The 15,319-nt window shown below is 38.5% G+C and overlaps 1 protein-coding gene across 5 annotated transcripts in view; it reads left to right on the top strand.

Moving 5' to 3' along the window:
• The window catches only part of TP53BP2 (tumor protein p53 binding protein 2), a 66,055-nt gene that overhangs the window by 43,365 nt on the left and 7,371 nt on the right, over positions 1 to 15,319 (top strand). For all 5 annotated transcript variants that reach the window (XM_011544268.3, NM_001031685.3, NM_005426.3 and 2 more), the window contains 8 exons: positions 239 to 467; positions 1,773 to 1,883; positions 2,536 to 2,684; positions 3,906 to 4,368; positions 5,993 to 6,768; positions 9,143 to 9,280; positions 10,061 to 10,194; positions 13,409 to 13,575. In XM_011544268.3, the coding sequence (XP_011542570.1) occupies positions 239 to 467; positions 1,773 to 1,883; positions 2,536 to 2,684; positions 3,906 to 4,368; positions 5,993 to 6,768; positions 9,143 to 9,280; positions 10,061 to 10,194; positions 13,409 to 13,575 (2,167 nt within the window). The remainder of the gene's footprint in view (positions 1 to 238; positions 468 to 1,772; positions 1,884 to 2,535; positions 2,685 to 3,905; positions 4,369 to 5,992; positions 6,769 to 9,142; positions 9,281 to 10,060; positions 10,195 to 13,408; positions 13,576 to 15,319) is intronic.

Raw genomic sequence — 15,319 nt, 5'->3', positions numbered from 1 at the left:
CTGCTTTTTTACTTTTTAATGTTATTACCTGTGTAGCTCTGTTTGTCTCTAATACTTGTAATAAAGTGTGGGTGAGAGTTCATTGGGGAGTGTTTATTTTGGAATGTTTTTTGTAGACTCTATGGCTAGATTCTGAAACTGCTCATTTTAAAAAGTAAGAAAATGTCACATCTTAGTTTCTAAGTCTGATCACCTGAGATGATTTTTAATACTAAAGGACCTGTGCTTCTTTCCTAAGGTTTCATCTGATGGAAATCTTCCCCAGCAAGCCGCGTCAGCCCCAAGCCGTGTGGCTGCAGTAGGTCCCTATATCCAGTCGTCTACTATGCCTCGGATGCCCTCAAGGCCTGAATTGCTGGTGAAGCCAGCCCTGCCGGATGGTTCCTTGGTCATTCAGGCTTCAGAGGGGCCGATGAAAATACAGACACTGCCCAACATGAGATCTGGGGCTGCTTCACAAACTAAAGGTAAAAAGTCCTGCACAGCCTAGTTCTTCCTGTCCCCACTATTCTTTCTCCCAAGTTTGAGTTTAAAAAAAATCTCTCTTTGTATTCATTATTCATGTTTGAATTCTAAAAATCCTTTTATATTCTTTGCTGGTGTAATGAGACGTTTAAAAAATTAAAATTGATACCCTGGTTGTACAAGGATGATTTTTCTTAACCCTAAATAATACAATTCTATTCAGGAAATGAAATAAAATATAATATCTTTATAAACCTGAAAATTGTTTTAAAAAGTTCCTTATTGTTACTAAGGAAATTTTGATATTAATAACTTGAGAACTTTTCTTTTTGGGTAAAAACATATGTGTTTGTGGTGTCATCTGTATAGGATGTGAGGTTCTGAATCTATTATGTTGATGAGTGGTGTTAAATATTCATATCTGCTTACATGTGAGAATTTGCTGATAATTTTTAGAATAACATTAAACATATTGGGAGATTAAAAGTGAAAATAGCAGAGGCTCCTTGTGTTAGTGATCTTTGCATTCTGTGTACTTCTCAGATACATGGAGAGGTACAAGCCATAGTTTTGTAATGGGAGGAAAAAGTGTGGGGAGAATTGTAGAAAAATTGGGGTAAAGCATCCTTTAATGACCTTATCATTCAGACCCCTGGACAGAAGAAGTAATAGCCAGTATTGTCTCTGTTCTCTTACAATTATCATATGCAAAAAAATAGCTGATTTTCAAATTATTTGTTATTTTACCATAACTACTACTGTGAAGCAATAGTACCATGCAGTCTGGATTTTATTGTGGAAAGAGTTATATTTGCTTTGTTTCTGTAAGGAAAAATGAAAGCAGTGGCTTTTGAAATTTAAGTATCAGTGTAGAAAAAAACCTGAATATACTGATTTGTGAAAGAGTGCAGTTGAAGTCCTGGATTAAGGATCCACATATTTACTTTTGTGTTGTGCATGTATCACTTAAAATATCATTTATAAAATACACCTTAGACCCTTAGGTCTCTTGAATTGGAAAGTATTTTCTGGATGTGATGGTGATGTTTTCTAACACAGTGAAGAATAATGTGTCTTTGCTGGTTCAAGCAGACTTGCTGTGACTAATTTTAAATTGCCTGAGTAAAGTGGAAGAATCTTAAATTAGAAATATAAAATATAATACAGTATTTTCTAAGTAAATTTATTGGGGTGTTGTGAGTCTGGAATTTAAAGCTGTTTTTAGAGATTAAAAGTCTTAGCAGTAAAAATCATTAAAAATCTCTTTAGAATGCTGAGTTATTTGTAGCTGCTTTTCTGTATTTTAGGCTCTAAAATCCATCCAGTTGGCCCTGATTGGAGTCCTTCAAATGCAGATCTTTTCCCAAGCCAAGGCTCTGCTTCTGTACCTCAAAGCACTGGGAATGCTCTGGATCAAGGTGAGATTTATTTGTGCTACTCTTGAACATTAAATTTTGGTCATCTGAAAGGTGCTGTGTATTCTTTTAGAGAGTCCATTTTCTCTTTTCTTTCTTCCTTTTTTTGTTTTTTTTAAAGACAGGATCTCACTCTTGTCATCCAGGCTGGAGTGCAGTGGTGCGCTCATGGCTCACTGGTGCAGCCTCCACCTCCTGGGCTCAAGTGATTCTCCTACCTCAGCCTCCCTAGTAGCTGGTACTACAGGTGCATGCCACCATGCCTGACTAATTTCTGTATTTTTTGTAGAGATGGGGTTTCACCATGTTGCCCAGACTGGACTCCTGGGCTCAAGTGATCTACCCGCTTCCACTTCCCAAAGTGCTTGGATTACAGGCGTGAGCCACTGCACCCGCCTGATAAATCATTTTCTAGTGTGTTAACAATAGGGACAATATTTAACAATATTTATTTCCAGAACACCTTAATTTAGCTGGAGAACTCAGGTACGATCATTATAGTGCTTGGGTTATCCTTTTATTAGTTTAATTAAAAAATAGGAACGTGCTTTGTGGACACAGATTTTCAGGGAGATTTAGGGGAGAGAAACTTACGAGTGAATGAGATACTTTATTCTAAACAGTTTGAATGTCATTGTGATTTTTTTGTCTTTAGTTGATGATGGAGAGGTTCCGCTGAGGGAGAAAGAGAAGAAAGTGCGTCCGTTCTCAATGTTTGATGCAGTAGACCAGTCCAATGCCCCACCTTCCTTTGGTACTCTGAGGAAGAACCAGAGCAGTGAAGATATCTTGCGGGATGCTCAGGTACCTACAAATATCCTGGTTTTTAAAATTTAATAGTAATTCTATAATGCAGTTTTTAGAAGGGATAAAGTATTGTGTGAGGGAGAGCAGAAGAAACAGGATGTACCTAGGAGATTAGAAAATACATTAGCATTCTGTTATTTTAATTTCTCTTGCGTGAGTCTGTTTGTGCTCTCACACCCGGTGGGAGAATGGCTGACATGCTTGTTTTGGGTCATATTTCATGTGATTCTCTAAAAAGTATAAGTGCATCGAAGAACACTGTATTTGTATTGTTCAAGTATCTTATTTCTTCAAAGTTACAAAATGCTTGTGTGGTGAATTTTCTGTAACTGTTACAGTCTTAATCCTTGATAACCAGGTTATGTGTGAGTGCTCCAAGTTAGGTGTGTTTTATTACAGTTGTCTAGATTGCATGAAATTCCAGTGAACAAGAATGGTTTCCCATTATTGATGCCATCTGAATATGAAAGATGACAGTAAAAGTTTTCAAGTGGGCACTTAAATGTATTAAAATTGCCCAGATAGGAAGTGGAAACAAGGAGGAAGTCATAAAGGGAAGAGATTGTATTGCATTAATGAAAACCATTATTAAATGTGAGTAAATACAGAAATTTAAAACTAGTTAACAGCCAGGTGTGGTGGCTCACACCTGTAATCCCAGCACTTTGGGAAGCTGAGGTGGGAGGATCACTTGAGACTAGGAGTTCGAGACCAGCCTGGGCAACAAAACGAGACCCTGTCTATATAAAAATAAATAAGTACATAAAACAAAACAAAAGCTAATTAACAATTAAAAAATATGAGCTTATATAGATATATTTTCCGAGATGGAGTCTTGTTCTGTTGCCCAGGCTGGAACGCAGTGGTGCAATCTTAGCTCACTACAACCTCCACCTCCTGGATTCAAGAGATTCTTCTGCCTCAGCCTCCTGAGTAGTTGGGACTACAGGCGCCCGCCACCATGCCTGGCTGATTTTTGTATTTTTTTAGTAGAGACGGGGTTTCACCATATTGGCCAGGCTGGTCTCGAACTCTTGACCTCGTGATCCGCCTGCTTTGGCCTCCCAAAGTGCTGGGATTACAGGTGTGAGCCCCTGCACCCGGCCAGAGCTAATATTTTTATAGTGTATATTTACATTTGTGAAATTAGGTTATCTAGAACATCCTGTGTACCCAGTTATATAGTATTTTAACTGGCTTTTTATGTGTGTGTTATAGGTTGCAAATAAAAATGTGGCTAAAGTACCACCTCCTGTTCCTACAAAACCAAAACAGATTAATTTGCCTTATTTTGGACAAACTAATCAGCCACCTTCAGACATTAAGCCAGACGGAAGTTCTCAGCAGTTGTCAACAGTTGTTCCGTCCATGGGAACTAAACCAAAACCAGCAGGGCAGCAGCCGAGAGTGCTGCTATCTCCCAGCATACCTTCGGTTGGCCAAGACCAGACCCTTTCTCCAGGTTCTAAGCAAGAAAGTCCACCTGCTGCTGCCGTCCGGCCCTTTACTCCCCAGCCTTCCAAAGACACCTTACTTCCACCCTTCAGAAAACCCCAGACCGTGGCAGCAAGTTCAATATATTCCATGTATACGCAACAGCAGGCGCCAGGAAAAAACTTCCAGCAGGCTGTGCAGAGCGCGTTGACCAAGACTCATACCAGAGGGCCACACTTTTCAAGTGGTAAGGTTCTTAACGTTCATAGGTGACGTGCTTAAGTTCTATACCAGAACTTAAGCCATCCCTCAGCAGACAGCAAAATAACTAATCCCTATTTTGACTGACGCTAAGGGTTTTTAACTGTGGCTTCTGTTCTTTACTGGGAGTTTAAAAGAGTGCTTGCTAAATGTCTGCTCCTACAGTAGTAGGCACTAAAGATAATAGATGAATAAAGTGTGGTCTCAAGTCTGGAGGGGCTTATCGGTGAGGGAGAACCAAATATAATGGGTCATTACAGTGCAGAAGGAAGGTGTGTGTCTTCACTGTAGGTTGACCAGATGTTCTTGTCATATAGAGGACTGGACCACTGCCCCTGTCTGTGTGTGTGTGTGTATATACATATAGAGAGACATATATACGTAGACATGTATATATAGATATATATACACACACACACATCACACACATATATATATGTGTGTCTCTGTATGTGTGTGTCTGTGTCTATATGTCTTTATATATAACTGTGGCTGGGCGCAGTGGCTCACGCCTGTAATCCCAGCACTTTGGGAGGCCAAGGTGGGCGGGTCACCTGAGGTTGGGAGTTCGAGACCAGCCTGACCAACATGGAGAAGCCCCACCTCTACCAAAATACAAAATTAGCTGGACGTGGTGGTACATGCCTGTAATCCCAGCTACTCAGGAGACTGAGGCAGGAGAATTGCTTGAACCTGGGAGGCGGAGGTTGCAGTGAGCCGAGATGGTGCACTCCAGCCTGGGCAACAAGAGTGAAACTCCATCTAAAAAAAAAAACATACATACGTACATATATATATATATTCTCTACTGTATTTTAAGTCATTGTAATGGGGACATAGCCGCTAGCTAAATGTAAAAACAGAAGGTTAGCTTGTATTAAACATACACAGTTTGGAAATTTGTTGGGTTCTTTCTAAATTATTACTTCATAGGACTAGAATAAAACTTACCATGTTTTAATTGAATGAAAATAGCTTTGTAGTCATGAAATAACCATGTAATTGTGACCTAAGATGCCATAATTAAAATTAGCAAAGAATCAGTATATATGCTACCTCTTACTCTTCTTTTCATGGGTCTTTAGTGAAAATGGAATAATTTGGGAATTAGATAATTTTAATATAATCAGAATGTTAACAGGGAATATCTTTGGTAACTATAAGTGGTTCTTAATAATTTTATAAGCCAAATAGAAGTTCTCACGTTGATTCACTTTTGAAAAGTGAAAGATGGGATAGTACATGTTTAGTTTTAATCTGGACACATGAGGATTATCTGTTTTCATTGCATCTAAATGTTTTTCACATTTTGTTATTTTAAATTTGGATGCTACAGTGATTTCTTAAAACGGCAACATTTTCTTATTGTTTCATGAGATATGGTGCATGTTACAATCAGTGGGGGTTTTGATTCTGTAATAAGTTTATTATGCAAAGATGGATTCCCTGCTTTGTCATTTATTTTTAAAAATTAATTATATTTGAAGGGGATTATGTAGTAACAACTATGAAATTAAAAGAGGCTTTAGTTATTGTTAGCTGTTTCTGTTTCTTGCCAGTTTTGTTTAATTAATGCTAATGAGGGCTTTTTTTTTTCCTTTTCCAATTAGTATATGGTAAGCCTGTAATTGCTGCTGCCCAGAATCAACAGCAGCACCCAGAGAACATTTATTCCAATAGCCAGGGCAAGCCTGGCAGTCCAGAACCTGAAACAGAGCCTGTTTCTTCAGTTCAGGAGAACCATGAAAACGAAAGAATTCCTCGGCCACTCAGCCCAACTAAATTACTGCCTTTCTTATCTAATCCTTACCGAAACCAGAGTGATGCTGACCTAGAAGCCTTACGAAAGAAACTGTCTAACGCACCAAGGCCTCTAAAGAAACGTAGTTCTATTACAGAGCCAGAGGGTCCTAATGGGCCAAATATTCAGAAGCTTTTATATCAGAGGACCACCATAGCGGCCATGGAGACCATCTCTGTCCCATCATACCCATCCAAGTCAGCTTCTGTGACTGCCAGCTCAGAAAGCCCAGTAGAAATCCAGAATCCATATTTACATGTGGAGCCCGAAAAGGAGGTGGTCTCTCTGGTTCCTGAATCATTGTCCCCAGAGGATGTGGGGAATGCCAGTACAGAGAACAGTGACATGCCAGCTCCTTCTCCAGGCCTTGATTATGAGCCTGAGGGAGTCCCAGACAACAGCCCAAATCTCCAGAATAACCCAGAAGAACCAAATCCAGAGGCTCCACATGTGCTTGATGTGTACCTGGAGGAGTACCCTCCATACCCACCCCCACCATACCCATCTGGGGAGCCTGAAGGGCCCGGAGAAGACTCGGTGAGCATGCGCCCGCCTGAAATCACCGGGCAGGTCTCTCTGCCTCCTGTAAGTAATGTACTATCTCATAGCCTTTTCCGGAGTCCTTTACTTTGTTACGATTTTCTTGGTGGTCACATTCATCTTCTCCAGTTTGCATTTTTATTTTACGATTCCCTTGGCACAGAGTGGATCTTATAAATGTTTTCATAATGCAGTTTATTCAATATAAAGAACATTTTTCTGTTTTAGAGAGAACCCATTTATTTGTGAAAGAAACAGAGTTTTGTTCTTATCCCTATAAACACTGCATTTGCTGTTTCTTCTCTAGCTGATGTGACATATTAGGGAAGCAGCACCCGACTGGGACTCAAAAGACCTGGGTTTGAAACTTTTGATTACTAGCTTAGCTGTGTGAAATCAGGCAGATGGTATAACTTCTCTCATTGATGATGTCAATCTTTTTAAAAATTTTCTAGCAGTGAAATTTTAAAAAATGAAATGTTAGGTGAAACCTCAAACTTACAACAGTGGTAAAATTGGAAGGGTTCTGGATGGAGTGAGGGCAGGGAGGGGTAACTGGGCTGAGGGGCCCCTCTTCAGCCTCTTCCTCCCCTTCAACGAAGTCTGAAAATCTCTGGCTAATATGGTGATCCCTAAGATTTCTTTGTACTTTAACATACGAAAGTTATTCTAAGATTTTGTATGTTTTGGCTTGAGTGCACCTTCTACACTCCTTCCAGATAGTAAGCTTTTGTTTGAAATTTAAGCTTCCATCCTCTCACTTTGACATAGGTGAGAGAAAATAAAAATCCCAGAATGTCTGAATGAAGTCTGCTTTTTCATAGTTTAATTTGAAGCCACTTTGCTTCAGTAAGCACGGAAGGAAGTAGGATGCTGAACTATGAATTTAAAACCTGGTGAAAAGCAAAATAGCATTAAAAGAATTTTTTTAAATGTACTTTGCATGTTTGATTCCTTATTATCTTTTAGATATGATAGTATTCAAAGATAATAATTGTCCACAGTTATTTTTAACAATTGGTTACAGTAAATGTTTGCTTAAAAGTTTTATGTACTAAACATTTGAAGCTAGAAAAAAAAGTTTTAAAATAGAGGTTAACAGTTTTTAAACAACCCTGTGCCTCGTAAGTTCTGAGGCTTGATTCTCTTTGAGTTTTAAACATAAGAAAAGAAGGACGTTTTATTCCACATTGGCCAAAACCAATCCACGTTACAGCCACTTGTTATTTTCTGGCCTTTTTGTTGCTGTGTCAAAATAATCCACATTTTCAAGGAGAAAAAAGGAAAACTAGAATTGGTAAAAGTATTATACTTTCTTTTTAAGATTCTGCTGTTCTCTTCCTAGGAAGGTGTCTTACCTTTTCCTTCTCGATTTAAGTAAAATAGAAGCAACTATCTCGTACATTCTTTAACAGTGGGATCGGCAAGTGTCATTACACTGTACTGCTTATGACTTGTATTAACCACAGTCAGATAACATTCAGAGAGCAACATTTTAGTCATTGCACATTGTGAAATGTATTGTCGCTTAATGTTTTTTAAAACTTGGCAATTTTCCACATCTGAGATAAAATGAAAGAATTATGTGGAGTACATATATCACACCTCACAACAGTAAACGTCTCTACTTTGTTGGGTGTGTTTAAGAAACCTGTTTTACAGGATACTGGATCTAGTCTTTAAAATTTTGCCTTTTTTTTTTTAAGTCCGATTCATTAAAAGTTTAAGCTGGTAGGATTTATCCTTGTTATACCTAAGACAGACTAATAATCTGTATTATTTACCTTAATTATATGCTTTCCCCCGAGGAGGCATTCTGGTGTGAAATGGTTAAGATGGCAGACTTTAAAGAAGCCAGCTTACCTGGATTTGCGTCCCAGCTCTGCCATTTGCCGGCTGTGTGCCTTGGTTTCCTTATCTGTAAACTAGGGATCATAGGGTTTTTGTGAGGGTTAATGAATAATCATTCAATATAGGTTAGCTGTTGTAGTTGTGGGCTGTGCTGTTGCTCACTTTAAGAGAGTGGAGTTTGCTGTACTGTATTAGATAGGCAGTCTAAAGACCAGTCTTGGCTAATTCTGATACTTGACAGAACGCTAGCCTATTTGCCACTTCTGATTATACTCTTAGTTTAATTCATACTATAACATATAACCCAAACGTAATTATGTTAGATTTTATAAAGTTATGTTCCTCCAACTTTGCTCCATGGTATTTGTTCACTTTGTGAAAGTTCATTACGCTGCATGTCAGATTCGTATACTTTTCTGAATAATGTTATACTTCAATAAAATGTGCCAAATCTATATTGTTAAAGTGCCTCTCACTAATTTAGGTGAGAAGTCATTCCTTCCCATTTGCTGCTGTTGTTCTCTTGCATAGACGAGGATCCTAAATTTTCCACCCATTTTCTTTGCAGGGTAAAAGGACAAACTTGCGTAAAACTGGCTCAGAGCGTATCGCTCATGGAATGAGGGTGAAATTCAACCCCCTTGCTTTACTGCTAGATTCGTCTTTGGAGGGAGAATTTGACCTTGTACAGAGAATTATTTATGAGGTATGATTATAATTAGTAAATTTTTTTTTTTGAGTCAGAGTCTCGCTCTGTCATCCAGGCTAGAGTATAATTAGTAAATTTTTAAAATATGACCTTGTATTTTGTTTTAAAGCTCTAATTAGAAAGCGACTGTAGAGAAATTGTATTTTAAAATTGTTTTCCTTTTAGGCATTGTGGGGTTGTGTTCAGGAACTCTTGGGCACGCTTTAGAATAGGCTATGCTGTTTTAAAGGTATGACTATGGAATTGTCATCATTTGGAAGTTCGGTTTTCACTTGGAGTCCTCTAGAGTACTTTTCTTTCTTAAGAGAGATCATTACTCCCCTTTAGAAATTGTTCATGTATGGATTTGTACTATACTGTATTAGGTTAGAGATGCGGTCTCTACTTTTAGAAGCCTACTATTTAAAATATTTTTAGTTGACCTTTTTTTTTTTTTGCTTTCCATAGCAAATGCAACTTCTACTTAGAAACTAATTTGTGGTGAGAAGCTGGGAGGATAAATAAACAAAAATGACTATAAGGATATAGTTTCTGGTACTTCCTTTTTTTAAAAAAAACCTTTTTATAGTGACTGCCTACTTAATGTGGTTTTTCTGTCTGTCTTATTTCTAGAATTGTTCTTGGTATAGTTTTCTTGGCTCCTATAGGTTTTAATTATGATTTTTAAAAGTGTCACAAGAGTCCATTTCTGTCCTCTTGACCCTAAAGGAGCCAGTTAGTAGTGACAGTTCAGGTGACAAGAAACTAGAGTGATGCTCACCCTTCTTCTTGATATAGGTTGATGACCCAAGCCTCCCCAATGATGAAGGCATCACGGCTCTTCACAATGCTGTGTGTGCAGGCCACACAGAAATCGTTAAGTTCCTGGTACAGTTTGGTGTAAATGTAAATGCTGCTGATAGTGATGGATGGTAAGATTTTCTTTTAAACTCCAGTCAAACTTCAGTTGTGGGAATCGGTTTATAAGCAGTTGTCATAGTGCTGTTGGAAGACAAAGAAGTATGTCAGTTATGTCCTTGAGCTGCTTGTAATCTAGCTGGAGAAATGTGGTATCTATTTTTGAGGAATTAACATGTGTTCATGTAACAGTCATCTCATTCCCATCCTGGAAGTAGGTGGAGTTTTAAAAAGTTTAGTAGTTAATGATAAAAATAAGTGTAACAAAGTAGTACACAGTTAATTAGCATCCTTAAGCAAAGCTTAAGAGAGAAGTGCTGATTTAGGCAAGGTATCCCTAAGCCCCTGAAATGGTTCAGTCTTCAATATATTAATGTCCATTCTATATCTCCAAGAGGGGATTATAACTTGCAACATATCCTAAATATATTTGACCATGGAATCCATTTTTCGTGGAACCAGGGTGTACGTAAAACGCAAGCGGTACTGCAAGTGATGAGTATTGTTTGCAGGATAGGGGAAATGTTAGTCAATATTAAATAATAATAATAAAGGTCCTAATAAGGTCCTGTCATCCCCAAAACTAACAGAATAGACAGCAAATTTTGTATGTTATTTTTAAAAAAGAAAGTTTTAAGTTACATTGTGTTACTTTTGTGGAAGAATACAAACAATTGACTTTTTTCTTTATAGGATTTTAAAAAGTTGTAATCACACTATATTTACTCCAGTATTTTAGTTTCACAACTTGTTTTTCTCATAATATGGAAAATAGTTACCATATAAAATTCTCATGTATGCATATATAAATTGCATACACACATACATACATTTCAGTTAGCCTCGTATTACTCTACCGCGTGACTGTGTACTCATTTATTGTGACGGTCTCCCTTTTATTAGACATTGAGATTGTTTTCCAACTTTTGTTTTAATGCTTGGAGAAGCACTTTGGTTACAATTTTTAAACACTTATATTTTAATGTGTGTCTACTGTGGGAAACATGCAAAATAGAAATAAGGGGAAAACAAGCCATCTGTATCCCCACAGTGTACAGGTAAACACCATTCATATTTTAATATATTTTCTTCAGGCTCTTTTTAAAAAAAAATTATTTTTTATTTTTATTTTTATTTTTGTAGAGACAGGGTCTCACTGTGTTGCCCAGGTTGGTCTCGAACTCCTGGACTCAAGTGATCCTCCTGCCCGAGCCTTTCAAAGTGGTGGGTTTATAGGTATGAGCCACCGTACTTGGCCCAAGCTCTTTTTCATATGCTTTTCACAAATATAGTTAAGCTCCTAATACATATGTAATGTTTTAAGCCTATATTTTTAGTTTCACATTATAGCATAAAGAAAACAAATTCTTACTGTGTCATAATGCCCTTGTTTTCCTAATGTTGGGAGTTTATGTTGTATATAATTTTTCATTATTAAAAAGCATGCAGTGAAAAAATCTATAGTAATATTTGCCAAACTATTTAATAATAGTGTTCTGGCCAGGCATGGTGGCTAATACCTGTAATCCTAGCACTTTGGGATGTTGAAGCAGAAGATCACTTGAGCCCAGGAGTTTGAGATCAGCCTGGGCAACAGAGAGAGACCCTGTCTCTATAAAAAATTTTTAAAAATTAGCTAGGTGCGCTGGTGTGTGCCTGTAGTCCCAGCTACCGGGGAGGCTGAGGTGGGAGGATTGCTGGAGCCTGGAGGTCAAGACTGCAGTGAGCTGAGATTGCATTGCTGTACTCCAGTCTGGGTGACAGAGCAAGATCCTCAAAAAAAAAAAAAAAAAGTGATCTGGAATGGGGAATTTAAAAAAATTTTTTTTCTTTTTTTGTTTTTTTTGAGTCAGGGTCTTATTCTGTCACCCAGGCCGGAGTGCAGTGGCACAATCTTGGCTCACTGTAACTTCTGCCCTCTGGGCTGAAGCAGCCTCCCGTCTCAGCCTCCCAAGTAGCTAGGACCACAGATGTGTGCCACCACACCTGGCTATTTTTTTGTATTTTTAGTAGAGATGGGGTTTTGCTGTGTTGCCCAGGCTGGTCTTGAACCCTTGAACTCAAGTGATCTGCCCTCCTTGGCCTCTCAGAGTGCCAGGATTACAGGTGTGAGTCACTGCGCCTGGCCAAAAAAAAAATAAAAATTTTTTTGAGACAGAGTCTTGCTGTGTCACCCTGGAGTGCACTGGTGTGATCTTGGCTCACTGCAACCTCCACCTCCTGTTCAGGTGATTCTCATGCCTCAGCCTCCCCAGTAGCTGGGATTACACACCCGGCTAATTTTTGTATTTTTAGTAGAGTTGGGGTTTTACCATGTTGGCCAGGCTGGTCTCAAACTCCTGACCTCAGGTGATCTGCCCGCCTCGGCCTCCCAAAGTGCTGGGAGCCACTGCGCCTGGTCTAAATTTTTTTTTCAAGTCTGTATACCCAAGGAGAATAAAGGGGAGAGGAAAGAGTAAAGAAACTAAATCTTATGTACTTTAGAGCCTGATTAACATTTTCACACTCAACTTCTGAGTTTGGACAGTGGTACTGGCTCTTGTACCTTTACCATTACTCTAGGGTCATTTATAATCTATTATAAAACATTTGAGATGCTGGAGTTCTCTTTAATGGTATTAATAAATTCCTGCTGACCAGTTACCTATAGTTGAAATATGTGTATTTTACAGTCACTTTTCTGGTCTCAATTGATTTGACAAATTTTTTCAATTAAAATTTGTTTTAACTTGGGATTTAAAAAATATAAAAGTAGTTCATCTATGCAACTTAATTCCTTCAAAATTGATGACGATAAATAGATATTTAAAGGCCAGTGTTTTGAGTGAAGGTGTATAACTTAAATAACTTAAGGACTGTTAGGGCTTCTACTCTGAAAGAATTAGGCTGGATGCTCCAGGACATAGAACTAAATCCATGTTAATATTGTTTTTCTTAAATGTTTATACACATTTCATTTCTGTTTATTCACGTCCTTGATTCTTCTCACCCTTTGCTAAGCTCCCAGCCCCATTGTGGTCCATGACTCTCTGAAATTTTCATTTGTGGCTGTAATTCTTTGATGGGTTCAATCATCTGTGTTGAACTGGTTTTTAAAAAACTGTTTAAGAGGTTTTCAGAAGAAAACTTGGTAGATGAGAGACTCAAGAACTTTCTTTCCAGATATCTTATCAGCAGGTGTCATTCAGTTTAGGAAAACAGTTCTAGCCCTCGTATCTTGCTTCACAGGACTCCATTACATTGTGCTGCCTCATGTAACAACGTCCAAGTGTGTAAGTTTTTGGTGGAGTCAGGAGCCGCTGTGTTTGCCATGACCTACAGTGACATGCAGACTGCTGCAGATAAGTGCGAGGAAATGGAGGAAGGCTACACTCAGTGCTCCCAATTTCTTTATGGTATGTGACAAGTAGAACTAAATGTATTGATTACTGCATTCATTTATTCTGTATCTCCAGGGTATAATTCAATAAGTATTTTTGTTTGGAAAAAATCTTGTGTTATCCATAGTCTTGGGCCTTGAAAATACAACAGCCTTGGTCACAGATAATACAGCTTCTGTTTGTATGCTTAGAAACAGCTATTGTCAGGGACTTCTTCAATTACAAAAGACAGTGTTGCAGCATCTGACCTAGTGGTGTTAATGACTTTGACCATCAAAAGACCCTCTATTAAGGCTTTAGTACTTATAGATTGATGGTGTATCCTTGCAAATAAGTAAACAGACCCCCCTCTCCTAACAACATGATCAAGAGAAGTGAAGGATCAGTTTAAGAACCCAAATGGTCCAAGTTTTCCTAAAAATCAAACTTGTCATAAAGTGAAATAAAGGCAACATATATTTTGGAGCTGTCTTTTATTTTTTTCTCTTTTGTTTTCTTGATTTTGAGTTTATGATTCTGATTGCTAACATCAGATCTGTACCTAGAGGAAAATGGACTTGAAGTTTTAGATAGATATATGTTGATTGGCATTTGTATATACAAGGAAAATTTTTTTTGTTTACAAGGCTTAGAAGTTGAGGTAAATTTTCCTCTTTAGTTGGGCTTGAGAGGAATTAAAGAAGGAGGGAAGACAGAGACAAATGAGGAGGTCCCAGAACTCCATACTGCTCAAGTTTTCAGTAACTCCTTTCCCAGTTGATTGGAAGACCCCTAAGGGTAAAACAGACGCCTCTGCCCTCTCTGCTGAACTTTTCCCTCTGTCTCTAGGCCTTTTTTCAGGCCCTAGGTATGAAGAGAGAGGGGTCAGAGAACCACAAACCTGGAGTTCCCTTCTTCATCTCTCTCAGCTGGTAGTTTTTAATTGCTGATATTTGTGATTATTTTATTTTTTTAGAGGCGAGGTCTCACTCTGTCACCCAGGCTGGAGTGCAGTGGCATGGTCATTGCCCACTGTAGCCCCAAACTCCCAGGCTCAGGTGACCCTTCTGCCTCAGTCTTTCAAATAGCTGGGACCACAGGCACCTGCCACCACACCTGGCTAATTTTTAATTATTATCTATTTATTTATTTATTTATTTATTTTTGAGGTAGGGTCTTGCTCTGTCACTCAGGTTGGAGTGCAGTGGCACAATCACAGCTCACTGCAGCCTTGACTGCCAGGGCTCAGGTGATCCTTCCACCTCAGCCTCCAGAGTAACTGGGACTACAGGCATGTACTACCACACCCAGCTAGTTTTTGTATTTTTAGTAGAGATGGAATTTTGCCATGTTGTCCAGGCTGGTTCTCAAACTCGTGAGCTTAGGCAATCTGCCTGTCTTGGCCTCCCAAAGTGCTGGCATTACAGGTGTGAGCCACCATGCCTGACCTTTTAAATTTCGTTTGGAGTTGGGGCCTCAGTCTGTTGCCCAGGCTAGTCTCAAACTCCTGGCCTCAGAGAATCCTCTTGTCTCAGCCTCCCAGAGCTGAGATTACAGGTGTGAGCCACCATGCCCAGCCTTTGTTTATGTTTTAAACTCTGGACCATAGAATATTTTGATATAGTAACATATTTAAAAATTTATATATATAAATATAAATTTTATATATTTATGTATGTATTTTGTTTTTGAGACAATCTTGCTCTGTTACTTAGGTTGGAATGCAGTGGTGTGATCATAGCTCACTACAACCCTGAACTCCTAGGCTCAAGCAATCCTC

Source organism: Homo sapiens, chromosome 1, assembly GCF_000001405.40.
Source record: "Homo sapiens chromosome 1, GRCh38.p14 Primary Assembly".
NCBI lineage: Eukaryota > Metazoa > Chordata > Mammalia > Primates > Hominidae > Homo > Homo sapiens.
The sequence above is the reverse complement of the archived record's forward strand: the minus strand, read 5'-3'. Positions and strand labels throughout refer to the sequence as shown.